The following is a 14,488-nucleotide window of genomic DNA, read 5'->3' on the forward strand; positions in this document are numbered from 1 at the left end:
TTTTCGCCTTCATTTCAGCCAGGCTTTTTCTCCTTTATTCTATGCTTGCTGGGCCCTTTACTCTCTAATAGCCAAACTACTAGAGCTAGAGATCTTGCCTTTGTCATTAACTTTTCCTGTTCCCAATATCTGCTTTCTAAGATCTCTTTCAGGAGGTAGATATGGAAAGGAAAACAGACATAAAATTTGAATGTATCATTGTGGCTACATGTGAACATATTGCATTAAATTAATTGATAGAAAGAAGTTTGAATAAAATATTTTAGAAGAGGTTTTTGAATTTAGAGTTTATGAGGTTATACTTCTTTATCAACTTACAGTTAACAATGAAGTTATTCCCAAGCATCTTTAAAGCTAATTTATTTCCTTTTGTGTTTAAAGTTTTTTGAAGGAAATATATGCCTCAAAACAATTCTGTTGACCTTTTCTATCTATCTATTTATCTATAAAACAAAACATTAAATGGTTCCTTGATGGTTTTAAGTCATGGAATTTTTAGAAGCTAAAAGTGATTTAACTGCAGAACATTAAAAAACAGCACTGTATGATTGAAACTATGAGCTTTCATTCTTTCTTACCCAGGTCTGGGGTTCAGGCACATGAAGGATTGACTTTCATAGTTCCACATCATAAGGCACAGATTGTAAAGTATATGTAACCATTTTACTTAGTCTATTAACTTTCAGAAACCCAAACCAAGAGAATCACTCAGCAATGTGACATTTCACTTTTAGCTCTTACTGTCCTTTATAATATTCAGGTAAAATAATATTTTAAACTAGTTTAGACTGTGGCACATGCAGTACATACCTTGATGGTACGGATGACAGGCATCAAACCTAAACTCTGTAAAAAATCTGTGTAAATAACTCTTATTTTACTTTACACTGAAAGTAAAGTAAAATAAGGACTCAATGGTAAACTATTTCTTTATTAATACACACATTCTTATTTTACATTTCAGAGTAAAGTAAGAGTTTGTGCGTATTAGTCCGTTTTCATGCTGATGATAAAGACATACTTGAGACTGGGCAATTTATAAAGAAAAAGAGGTTTAATGGACTCACAGTTCCATGTGTCTGAGGAGGCTTCACAATTGTGGCTGAATGTGAAAGGCACAGCTTGCATGGTGGCAGACAAGAGAGAATGAGAGCCGAGCGAAAGGGGTTTCCCCTTATAAAACCATCAGATGTCTTGAGACTTATTCACTACCAAGAGAACAGTATGGGGGAAACTATCTCCCTGATTCAATCATCTCCCACTAGGTCCCTCCACGACATGTGGGAATTATGGGAACTCCAATTCAAGATGAGATTTGGGTGGGGACACAGCCAAACCATATATTTGTGTATTAATAAAGAAATAGTTTACTATTGCATCCTTAAGAATTGAGGCACTTACATATAGCTCACATTCATTCTTACTCTTCTGAGTCTCAGTATCAAATGGGCTGGATTAAAAATAAATAAAAAACAAAACAATAAATAAGGCAAGGGGAACTCAAGTGAACACATGGATAAAATGATTAGATAATAAATGGAATTATTCGAGAAATATTTTAAAAATTAGTGTAATTATAAAAGGTAAATAAATTCTAGATAAACACTGTATTAATCAGGGTTCTCCAGTGAAACAGAACCAATAGGAGAAAGAGAGAGAGAGAGATAGATGCAATTATGGAGGCAGGAAGTCCCACGATGTGCTGTCTGCAAGCTGGAGGCACAGGAAAGCCAGTGGTACAGTTCCAGTCCAAACCTGAAGGTCTGTGAACCAAGGCAGTCAGTGCTCTAAGTCCTGGTCCAAGTTCAAAGGCCTGAGAACCAGGAGCTCTGATATCCGACAGCAGGAGAATATGGATGTCCCAGATTGAGCAAAGAGCAAACTCACCATTTTAGTTATATTTATGCCCTCAATGGATTGAATGGTGCCCTCTTACATTGGCGAGGGACATCTCCTTTACTCAGTCTACTGATCCAAATGTTAATCTCTTCTAGAAACACCTTCACAGACATACCCAGCAGTAACATTTTACCATCTGGACATACTTATCCTGGTCAAGTTGACACATAAAATTATCGCATTGAGAATATTAGGCATCCAATAGTGGTGTGCTTGCAAGCCCACTCTCAGAATAATAAAGGCCTCGATATGTAGCATTTGACAACTTCCGTAGTGTAAATACCCTCACCATAACACATTTCAGAGGATCAACCTGAAGTTGCTGAATGTGAAGTTGGGAAGCAATGTATACCATTTTCCCGTGTGAACCAGTACGAGTCAACTGCAGTGTACCACTGTATTAGACCAGTTAATATATTTAAAAATGTTTCTAATCCACAGAAATGGACTTATCTGACACTGTGGGAGATCGGTTAATATAAATTAATTTTCTAGATAGTGGCCATTTCACCTGTAAGCAAATAGTGTCTATTTATTAAAGATAATTTCTATACAATGTATATGTTTTCTGCCTATAGAGCATAATTTCATCAATTCTTGATGATCTAAGTTCCTCAGTTGATATTAATCTTATGTGAACAATCAGGAAGGTAGTATAATGGTTAAAAGAACATAGTCTTAAACCAACTGTTTGGGATAAAATCCTGCCTCTACTATTGTGTAATGTTGAGTGTTACTCAGGTTCCTTCTACCTCAGTTTCCTTCTCTGTTAATTGGGGAAATTATAAGTGTTGTTAGTTCTTGTTATTCAAGGCAGTTATATTCTATAAAGTCACCACAAACACTGAATTAGTAAATACTGGATTATTGTTTTGAGGGGAAATACAGGGGTTAATTTCCTGGAAGCTGATTCATCAACCAATCAATACCTGCATTGTTTTGTGTATGTTCCTATTTAAAGATAATTTATTTAATATATATAGTTGAATCATTAACATGGACCACATAGACAACAGCACTATCACTTGTGTGTGAACAAAGCTTACTGACAAATGTACGTTCTCTCTAAGACACATCACAGCCTTTTTGCATTTAGGATCACTAGACAGCACATAGCGCTACAGCCAAGGGCTGTTTTAAATAGGGAAATCACCAACAAAAAATCACAGAAGCATGAAAAACATGGCAATAAATAGACTGTTAAAGCCACCCTGTTTATAGTATGAGAGTTGAAACACAAAGGTAGGGCTTTGCCTAGTTTCAACACAAATGGGAACATGCACATCAGGTGACTCAAATTTTTCAAGCTTCTGCCCATGCCTGTGTCTACAAATGAGCAAAAAGGGCTGTGAGTATAATTTGGGAGTTACTGTCAAAGATCAACAAAGCTGGACACTAGTTAAAGTGGTAAGATCAGGTGGTAATCAGTAATATACTGCTGCAGAAGGGAAGAGGGTCTGGCGTGACCTGAATTCAACTTAGATTTGTACAAGGAGGACTGGGCATTTTAAAGAGAGAATTGTAGAATAGGGAGAAGGGTGAGCAGGGACTCAGTAGAGTCAGGGTAGCAAAAAATTACAAAGTGTTGGTCACTGTAAATGATTCAATCCTCCAGCAGAGACGGGGAGGCAAGCTGTTCCTCCTGATATTTACATTTTAAGAGAATGGCTTTCAGGTCCTTTGAGAAACATACTCCTTAATTGTAGGAGACACATAGGTATCTCAAAGGGATAAAGGAAGGATCCACAATTGTAAGACCTTTGTAGTAAATGCTCTAAAAAAGGTGTCGGGGCTTATCATCAGGTGTGGGCTAGAGTAGTCGATTCTTTTGGCAGCCCTAAAAAAGGTGTCCGCGGCTTATCATCAGGTGTGGGCTGGAGTAGTCAATTCTTTTGGCAGCCATGAGCTTCCCCAGGCAGGATCTTAAATGGGGCTGGGTCATCCTAGGGATGCAGGCTTGATCTAGTGCTTATTCAAGTCTTTTCATAGGAGGGTGGGAGAATTTCATGTTCGCTGACAGCCTGTAGATTTTATAGGCCAAGCATGAGACCTAGTCAGGGAGTTCCGAGGAGCCTGGCTAGCATTTGAGCAAAGAGAGAATATTTGTGATTACAAATATATTTTATTAAATAGGCAAATTCGCAAATATGAAATCACAAATAATGAGGGTCGACCGTATTTTCACATTGTTGTTATTTAATTATGTAAATTGCTTAGAACACTAAGCACTCAATAAATGTCTGCTTAAATTATAATGTAAGATGTAGGAAGTGTTGAGTTATAAAGCTGTTTGTTTTGATCTTTATCAGCCTGCCTCAGGTTGCTATTTTAATATTTGGTCTTCTTTTTGTTTTATATTTTCGGTTTTCCAGTTTACTGCCAAGCTTCCACTTTTTCTCACTGTTAGTTTGTGCTACTCTGGCCTTTTAACCCCAGCCCTCCTGCACCCATATTCTTTGCGAAAATGTTTCAGTTGACTATTTAACAAGGCTGAGTGAGGACTTGAAGGCACTCTGAGTTGCTAGCTCTACTATGATCATTTTATTTGTTCACCTTTTGCTTTTAGACCCAAGATCCTGCCCGTGTTCCAGGTACTTGAGGTTGTTAGGGGTCTGCCTTTTATGTGAGGTGGATTTTTATGACCATTTGGGAACAATGTTCAATTTATTAGTATATTTTTATCATCGAGGGTTTTGGCCAAGAACTTCTTTTGTTTAGGAGCTGTGGCCTGGCCATGATCCAACCTGGCTGAGATGCTCAGACCACGTGATTTTCATACAGACACAGACTGTGGTGAATCTTATGGTAGAGCTTGCGGCAGACTCCATGGTAGATTTTATTTAGATCTCACGTCTCCACTGAATAACCAACTGAATTTCATGGCTACAAAGAAAGGAACTATCACATGATGAATTATTTTATATTATTTTTGACAATATAAAACAAATAAATGTTTTCATTATAAAAGTATTCTTGACTTTTGAAGTAAAATTTGGGTGTCACTCGAGGACTTTGCCTGGCTAAGGTGCAAAATTCTTGTGAATTTTAAAAATAGCTTATATATAAACCTTTACAGAAAACTAGGAGGTGAGGAAAATCCCTCATGAACTTGGATGTTATGAATTGCAGTCTAGGGATTTAAATAGGTTTCACTTATGTTCATGTTGGATTGTTAGAGTAGGTATTTCATGAATAATTTTATCTCAGATAAACTCATGATAGATTTTATCATTTTATTTTGGTTCAATTATATAAATGCTATTTAAAATCCAGCTCTTACTAAGGGTTAATATGGTAATGAATTCTAGTATTCCCTTTGAAAACACGGATAGATATTTTTTAATCTTTTTTTCATGTTCACTTAAAAAATATCTTGCTACTGTCTTTATATCAATGTTTCATAATTCTATTAGCCACATTTTGTTGACCTGCATATTCCTACAAGCCTGAATTTTAAGTTACAACTTTGTATTCAATATTAGTAGTATTAAAACAAACATATCAAAGGAAATAAAAACCCTAAAATTTAATGTTTCACAAAGGAACTCTGTGTTAAAACAGTGTCCTTTTAGAGTTAACATATGTATGGGAGATGCATTTTAAATAAAGATGTATCTGACCTGGAAGAGTAGACAAATCTGCTTTACAGCAAGTTGAAAGTTTAGAGAAATATTTATCATTCAGTTACCAAAATAACAAATTAAAGCAGCAAGGAAAGAGAAAAGAGAGGAGATGAAAGGAAATAAAGGAAAACCAAGACGTAAGTTAAGAAAGAGCTATTGCTTGTGAACTTCTTCCTAAAAAATGATAGAAAAAAAAGATAAGAAACAGAAAATTGCATGAGACTTCAGTGTTTATGTTTTGATGGAAATGTACAAATCATTTTCATTCTTTGCAGTGCTGTCATGCTCCATCACTTTAGTCCATTTTCACCTTCCAAAGAAATTCTGAATGGGCCTTCCTTCTCTGGCAGCTAATTAATCTTTCACAAGCCTACTCTTGCAGCCTGTCTGCCAGGGATGCCCCACACCTTAAGCCAGTGACTCACGAGCAGATTTCTTACCCTCTTGAGCAGTACTTTCTTCCCTTGAGCTATGTGAAGACCTAGCTTTTCTATTTTGTTTCGGAAACTATGTGAGCTGTAATATATCATTGAAGAATTGCTCCTTCCCCCCCACCACCATAAGTGAATATAAAGTGTTCCTGAATCATTTAATTGGGTAATAATGACAACAAAGTCTGAATATAAATTATGAATGTGTACAGCATTTTACCAATAGTGTATATCATATAGATGTAAGGACACATATTACTAGATTATAAATTCTCTGTGTATATACATTTGTTAGATTATCATTGTAATAACACAAATGTACTTATATTTATAATAATGTTGCATTTGCCTAAAAATACTAATAAAACTGCAAATAAAAATAATTTTTAGTCTAATTAATGGAAGATTTGGTATATGAATTTTTTTTTAAGTTAGAGCATAATTCTTTACAGATTGAAATGCCTCAGTTAAAACAAAACAATATGGCCAGGGATGGTGGCTCGTGCCTGCAATCCCAGCATTTTGGGAGGCCAAAGCTGGAAGATTTCTTGAGGCCACAAGTTTGAGACCAGCCTGGACAATATAGCAAGACTCTATCTCTACAAAAAAAAAAAATGTGTGAAATTAAAAAGTTTGGTATACATTCTTTTTGTATGCAAATGTTTCCATCTGTTGTCATTTCAATTTAATCTGAATAACTTCTTTTCAGCCTTTCTGGTAGAAAACATCTGCTGTCAATGACTTTATCAGGTTTTATTTATCTAAAAAATGTTTTATTCTCGTTATTGAAGGAATTCTGGGCTGAATATTGAATTTTCAGCCCTCAAAAAAGTGATCTGCCTCCATTATTTCTGTTAAAATGTCAGTTGCTATTTGTATAATTGCTCTGCACATTATGTTTATCTGTGGCTGCTTTAGAGATTTTGTTTTATGTTTTGCTTTTGACAGTTGACTATTATATACTTAGGTGCATTCTTTCTGTTGTTAAGCATGTTTGGATTTTGCTGAGCTTTTTCAATCTTGATATGAATATTGATAGGAATGTTGACATGAAAAATATCAATGTTGATAGTTTTCATTAAATTGCAGAAGATTTTAGCCATCATTTCTGCAAAAATATTTCTACCTCATCTCCCTCCCTCCTTCTCTTCACCCCTCTCTGATAACACAATTATACTTATGTTAGACCTTGTAATATTTTTCTACTGATTATTGAGACTGTAATCCATGGTTTTTCAATATTTTTTCTGTTCTTCAAATCAGATAATTTCTATTAATCTCTTTTCATTCTCACTACTATTTTTTCCTTCAGTACCCAATCTGATATTTTGCTCACCCAGCTAACATTTTAATTTCACATTTACTTATCCATTCTTACATAGACCTCTTTTTTTATGGTTTGCAGTTACCTTCTGAGATTCTCTATCTGTGCACCCATTATAACTATATGTTTCTTTAAATCTTTGAACATAATAATAATAAATCATTTGTAGTCTTGGTCTTTGATTTCCAATGTTTGATTCAGAGTCTGTTCTGTTCTATGTATTTTTTTATTTTTCTTGTGTATGGATTACATTTTTACCTTTCCACTTATGTACATATGTAGCATTTAAAAAAAAAAATTACATGCTGGGGCTGGGTGTAGTGGCTCACGCCTGTAATCCCAGCACTTTGGGAGGCCAAAGTGGGTGGATTACTTGAGGTCAGGAGTTCGACACCAGCCTGGCCGACATGGTGAAACCCTGTCTCCACTAAAAATACAAAAATCAGCCTGGTGTGCTGGCACAGGCCTGTAGCCCCAGCTACTCCAGAGGCTGAGGTAGGAGAATCGCTTGAACCGGGGAGACAGAGGTTGCAGTGAGCCAAGATCGTGCCACTGCACTCCAGCCTGGGCAACAGAGCAAGACTCCATCTCAAAAAAAAAAAAAAAATACATGCTAGATGTTGTTAATGACTAATTTGGAGAAATCTATATTAGGTTTTCTCCTGGAAAAGGTATTGAGTTCTGTTGTAAGGAGCAGTTTAATTATGGGAAGATCATTTTTGCCCTTTCAGGCATAGTTTTATTCATTGGTAGTAGAACTCTACTTTTGTTTTGAATTTAGTTTATGAACCTTACCCGTACCCCTATAGTGGAGCCTTTCTTGAATCTCCAAGTGAGAGTCTGAGATATGCAGTAAATTATCTCCACTTCACCCAGGATTAAACTCCAGAGTATTCTTTCTAGCAGTAGCTAATCTCTGGTATCATTGTTCAGCAATCAACCATAGAGCAGGAAATCTCTGCTAGACCTTGTGGAATCTTACTCTATGAAAATGCCATCTAGACGTTCGCCCAAAATTCATGGTGAATCCTCACACAAACTACTGCCATTCCCAGCTCAGCTCCCTTTTGTCAGCTACCCTACACTCCAAATTTTAAGCAACTCAGAAGCCCAGACTTTTCTCGCTGCTTCTCAACTCAGTGAAACTTCAGTTCTACTGGGCTCTATTTCCGTATTTGATAGTAAAAAGTGCATCCAAGCAGAAAGTCATGGAGGTTACAGAGCTCATTTTGAGTTTTTCCTTCTCTTAAGGATTATATTCCTGTGCTATGTTTAGTTCAATGCCAGTAAAAATTTACTTTAGATAATGTGTGTAATTTTACAGTTGCTTATTATAAGAGAAGTACAGAAACTGGTTACTTTATCACAGTTGGAAGCATAAATCCTAACAAGCCATTTTTATTGTTAGATAAAAGAGATAAAGCAGATTGCCATAGATGAGGCAGAATGAGGGTCGTGAGGGAGGCAGGCTCATTGAGAGTTAAAATAGAGCCTGTGATGCTACGGGTATTGCAACATACTACATACATCTGTACTTGAAAGTAAAGCAAAAAAATGGAGAAGAGATACACGTCAGGGATTGGGTCAACAGCACACGAGGTGAAAAGATTTTGTAGGAGACAACAAATCTGAATAGAAGTCAGTGCCTTTCTCTCCTTCTGCCAATTAATTTTCCCACCTTTTGCCATTAATCTTTAGAAAACAGCTATCCCCCAATAGCTGTCCTCGTAAGTCATAATAAAAAGAAACCAACCAGATTTTATAAAGAATTGCAAAAATTGAAGAGTAAATGAATAAAACTCCAAATTTCAGTGAAGAACATGAAGTGCATAAAGGAATCACCTGAGTAAAGATATGAAATCAATAATTCACACAAAAGTACTCTGTTTCCAAAGAAATTACTGAAATGCTATATTTTAAATTGTTTTTATATAATAAAATGTCAAAAGAGTTAAAATATTTTATTATGATTTGTAAGATGATAGATGCAAATAAAAAGCAGACTGAAAAAGATCAGGAAACAAGTGAACTAGAAAACAGAAATAAAAGCTTTTGATTGCTCTTCCCCTACCCAACACACAAATAGAATAAACATAATTGAGAGTTATAAAGAACAGATATTAAAAATGAAAAAAATAAGAATTGTAGAGAAAATATTAAACGTAAAGGCAAATTAGACAAAAAAGGACATAGTGTTTCTAAACAAAATAAATGGACTAAATTGAGGAGAAAGAGAAAAAAAAGTCACAGGGGAAGAAACTTTCCTGGAATAATAAAAGTCTAGGCATAATAGGTGGACCTTTCCATTAGGGTATGCTGTGCTAAAATTTCTGAACTTCAGTATTTGGGAAAGAAACTGTAAGGGCTCTTGGGTGTAAACAGCAAACGAACCCCAAAGAAGGTTGGATGGGAGATTGGAGAGACTAGACTGACCTCAGACTTTGCAGTACTCTAACAGTGAATTGTTTCTCCACAAACATTTGAGGAGGTCAGGTGACCCAAGAAATTATAACCAGCGAAACTGCTGTTGAAGTACTGAATAATCATTAAACTGTATAAAAGTATGGATGCAGAGGATTAATTTAAACATATATTAAACACTAGGAAGATGGGGAAGGAGGGACGCTGAGTTTGAGCTTTGTGATTACAGATCAAAATATGTGATGATTTTTGATATTCTAAATTTAACAATAAGATTTTTTTAAATTTCAGAGGTGAGTAAAAAGAAAGTGGGAGGAACATAAATACGTTATTTTCCTTTTTTCACTATACTTTTTATAAATGAAATGTTATTAAAATAATATACTTTAATATTTTTCTTAATGTTATCTTTTAGATAGTGATAGATCTTGTCTTGTAGTAAGAAAGTATCTACGTGACTTTCAGCAATGCCTTTAGTTATACTTATTTTATTGTTAAATTTCATATAATTTAATAATTTACCATTTTAATATAATAGGAATAAAATTCTTAATTTTTATCTCTCTCTTTTTCTCTCCCACCTCACCTCTCTGTCTCTCCATAGAGCTATAACTACAGTAATTATACTAATATTTAAAGATGATTATTTCAAGATAGTGGGCTTTGGAATAGAAACTTAAAAAATGTTCATACTTACATTTTTAGATTCATTAAAAATAGCAGGTAAAATTTGTACATAAAACAGTAATTTTTTAAAAGAAAATAACTTATTCTGTAAGTTTTGGCACTCTCCTCAAAAAAGATTAAATGTCATAAGTAAAACCCAAGTATACTCGTAAATATTCTAATATATTGGTATACTTCTTGGGTCAGCAAACTTTTCTTCAAAGGGCTATGAATTAAATATTTTTGATTTGTGGACCATATTATCTCTGTTGTGGCTATGCAACTCTGTTACTGTAATGGGAAAGCAGCAATAGACAATATGTAAACAGACTGGCATATTCCAATAAAACTTTATTTACAAAAATAAGCAGTCAGTTCTGGGTCGTGGTTTGTTGACCCCTGGTATACACATCATCAACTTTAGTGATTAAAATATTATCAGCCTATCTGTGAAATACTGAGGTAAGGAAACTAATACAAAATATTCCTGATGTATTGATTTTATATTCTTGCTCCAAATACTTATTACTGTAATACTTAGCTTTGATGAGAAAGGGAAGTGTTGCTAAATAATTTACATACATATTCATATACATGCAAATTTTCATATCTTTTGATGTCTCAAAAATGCTGACATTTAAGAAAGGAAGGGCATATTTTGCTTCTTACAGTTCATATGTGCTGTACTCAAGCTGACTTCTTCCTTCCCATTTTACATTTCTAACTTTGATCTCAGAATGTAGGAGCTGGACAGGATCACCGAGTGCATCAGGTAAATAATTTCATTCACACAAGAAGAAAATTTACGGCCACTAAAGTTAAACGGTTACCATGCTAGTTCTTGCCAAAGTCAGGACTGGAATTCAGTCTCCTGGCTCCCATTGCAGAGTTTTGCCCACTACACTATATTATTGTACATGGCTTGGTTCAAGCCACAGAGGAACTAATCAAAGATTAACTATCTGATTTATACATATGTATATATATACTTACTTATATATATATATTTTTATACTTACATATATATATATATATATATATATATATATTTTTTTTTTTTTTTTTTTTTCCTCGAGAGGGCATCTCGCTCTGTCACCCAGTCTGGAGTGCAGTGGTGTGATCTCTGCTCACTGCAACCTCTGCCTCCCAGATTCAAGCGATTCTCCTGCTTCAGCCTCCCGAGTAGCTGGGATTACAGGCATATGCCGCCACGTCAGGCTAATTTTTGTATTTTTAGTAGAGATGGGGTTTCACCATGTTGGTCAGGCTGGTCTCGAACACCTGACTTCAGGTGGTCTCCTGCCTCGGCCTCCCAAAGTGGTTGGATTACTGACTTGAGCCACAATGCCTGGGCCAACTGACTGATTATTATATTAGGAATGCATTTATATTGACTCCTCTGTTCTGAGTACTTACTAGTTATCCTGATTCTATTTGTTCTCTATTTTAAAAGTAGGTTTATAAATAAAGTTATTTAAGAGCAATCAGTCATTACACATGAGGAGTGGTATTGCTCTATGTATACTCCGTTTCATTGAGAAACAGCCTTTTCGTAAAATGGCAAAAAAAACACAGCTGCAGTTATCCCTTTCTTCTGGGTCATTTCTAATAGTTTAGATCAGTGGTTCTCAAACTTTAACATGTATCAGAATCACTTGAAGAGCTTGCTAAAACACAGATTGCTGGGGCCTCCTCCAGAGTTTCTGATTCAATAGGTTTGGGATGACGCCTGAGAATTTGCATTTCAGACACGTTTCCAAGTGACAGTGATACTGCTAGTCTGGGTAAAAAATTTTAAAAACCACTGGGTTTAAATTCTCAGCCCTAAAGGCATATTATAATTACCAGGAGAGGCATTAATCCACTAATTAATTCCCAGGCTCCATCATCAATTGGCATAGAATGTCTAGGGCTTGAGACTGGGTATGAGTATTTTGTCTTTTTTTTTTTTTTTTGGTTTAAGTAATTAATCGGTGCATTAATAATTGTACATATGGGGTACAATTTGATGTTTCAATACATATCTGTGGTGTAGAGAGATCCAATCAGGGTAGTGACTGTATCCATCACTTCATGCATTTACCACTTCTTTGTGGCGAGAACTTTCAAAAGCGTTTCTTCTAGCTGTTTTGTAATATACAATATTTTAATGTTAACCATAGTCACCCTACTGTGCAACAGGACACCAAAATTTATTCCTCCTATCTAATTGTAACTTTGTACCCACTGACCAGTCTCTCCCTATTCTCCCGTCTCTTTTCCCTCCCCCAGTCTCTGGTAGCCACTGAAGTGCCTCAGGTGATTCTAATATATAACCAAGTCGGAGAAGCAATTAAGAAAAGTAATGACTGAAAAAGTTTATTTTGTCTGATGAATTAGTGCAAAATTTTTTAAACATATTCCTCTATTATGTGGGGATAATTTTTATACTGTCATTTCATGGTAAAGTATAAATGAGATAGTATAAAGATGACTTTACCAAGTGATTCCATAAATTGAAGGTAATTTGAGTGTAGTTTTATGCTACTAATCGTATAAAGTGCTGAGAATATAAGGTAGCTATAGAATTTTACTTTTAAAATGTTGTTATTGTAAAATTTTTGCCATTAATAAAATTATTTCATGCCTCAGTTCCTTAAATTATTTTTATTAGCATTGTATAGACAGCATAGATACTAACTCCTAAAATTCTTAATTTCTCTCTTTATAGTGAAAGATGCAGATGTACTTTGTATGGACATACAGATTCTGTGAACAGCATTGAGTTTTTTCCTTTCTCCAATACTCTTCTCACAAGCTCTGCAGACAAGACCCTGTCTATATGGGATGCAAGAACAGTAAGCAAATCATTCACTTTTTTTCCCAGCTTTTGATAAGTCTGATTACTCTCGGTCATTCTTTGGGTATGGAATATGACTTAAAAAGTGATTGTGCAAGGGCATTCAGGGCAAAAGAACAGTAAAAAGTTCATAATTACAAGATCCTTTCTATGCACTTGTATCCATTCTGCCTTCCAAATGTGATCAGGTAAAAATAATATGATTATCTCATTAAGCATTATTTCAACAATTATTTATTGCGATAGAAGCTCTGCTGGTTCATGGGATACAAAAGGGAAATACACACTGTGCCCCCTCCTTAAGGATCTTTTAGCTAGGTAAAGGAAGAGAAACGAGAGATTATTTTGATGAAATGAGACATGCGTTAATAAAATGGAAGACTATCTAAATACAGGGGGAAAGCAAGGAGGAGGATTCATATCTGCTGGAAGAGTGTGGATGGCTTTCAAAGGAGCCTAGGCTTGAGCTAAGATCTGGAGGGTAAGTAGGATATATAGGTCATCTGGAGAGGGGTAGATTTAGGAGAGGGCAATACATGCTCAAAGCCATAGAGATGTGAGGCTGCAATGGCATGTTCTGACAGTAATGATATAAATGGAAAGAGCTTAAGGAAAAAGAGGCATGATAGGCAAGAATGTACAGAGACAAAACAAGATCATGACGTATTTGATTAAAGTCTTAAACTATTTCCGAGAGAATTAAAGAGCATTAAGCAAACAGGGTGACATAATCGGATTTACCTTGTCAACTGAAGAGTGACAAGGTTCATAAATTTGGAAAATAAATTCCTCATAAGGGGTTACAGTCTGCAGGGTGGCCATTCGGACAAGCTGGAAAGCATAGCCTCCAGCCAGAAGCCAGAAATAGATACTTCGAGGGAGGAGCAAAGGGAACAGGAATTTATGCTGAGTTGGGTATGTGAATATTTCATAAGCTTGAGGAGGAGTCATGACTATTTATGAAAGGTGAATCATGCACATGCACAGTATACATTCATGCCCCTTCATGGGTCCCATGTACCAAAAATGGCAGTTTTAGCATGATCCAAGGCTGGAGTTTTCAGCCGCCTAACATCGGAAGGTGAAGTGGAGGACATGAAAACCCTTACTGCACATGTTCCATGGACTGGCCAGACCCACTTCATGGTCAGTGGTCTCTTATCAGGCTAAAAGAGGAAGGGCAGTATCAGGTGGCTGGTTGATATCAGTATTGAGGTCTTTTGAAAGGGCTGGTTTCGGCTGGGTGCAGTGGCTCACGCCTGTAATCCCACCACTTTGGGAGGCT

General features: G+C 35.7%; 1 protein-coding gene across 16 annotated transcripts in view; it reads left to right on the plus strand.

Annotated features, from left to right (window-relative positions):
• Window positions 1-14,488, plus strand: part of SPAG16 (sperm associated antigen 16) — a 1,126,038-nt gene that overhangs the window by 716,413 nt on the left and 395,137 nt on the right. For all 16 annotated transcript variants that reach the window (NR_047659.2, NR_047660.2, XM_011511814.2 and 13 more), the window contains one exon: window positions 13,075-13,201. Coding sequence is in view for 14 of the 16 variants with exons in the window: in XM_011511814.2 (XP_011510116.1) it covers window positions 13,075-13,201 (127 nt within the window). In the remaining 2 variants the exon portion in view is untranslated. The remainder of the gene's footprint in view (window positions 1-13,074; window positions 13,202-14,488) is intronic.

The sequence above is a fragment of the Homo sapiens genome, chromosome 2, assembly GCF_000001405.40.
Source record: "Homo sapiens chromosome 2, GRCh38.p14 Primary Assembly".
NCBI lineage: Eukaryota > Metazoa > Chordata > Mammalia > Primates > Hominidae > Homo > Homo sapiens.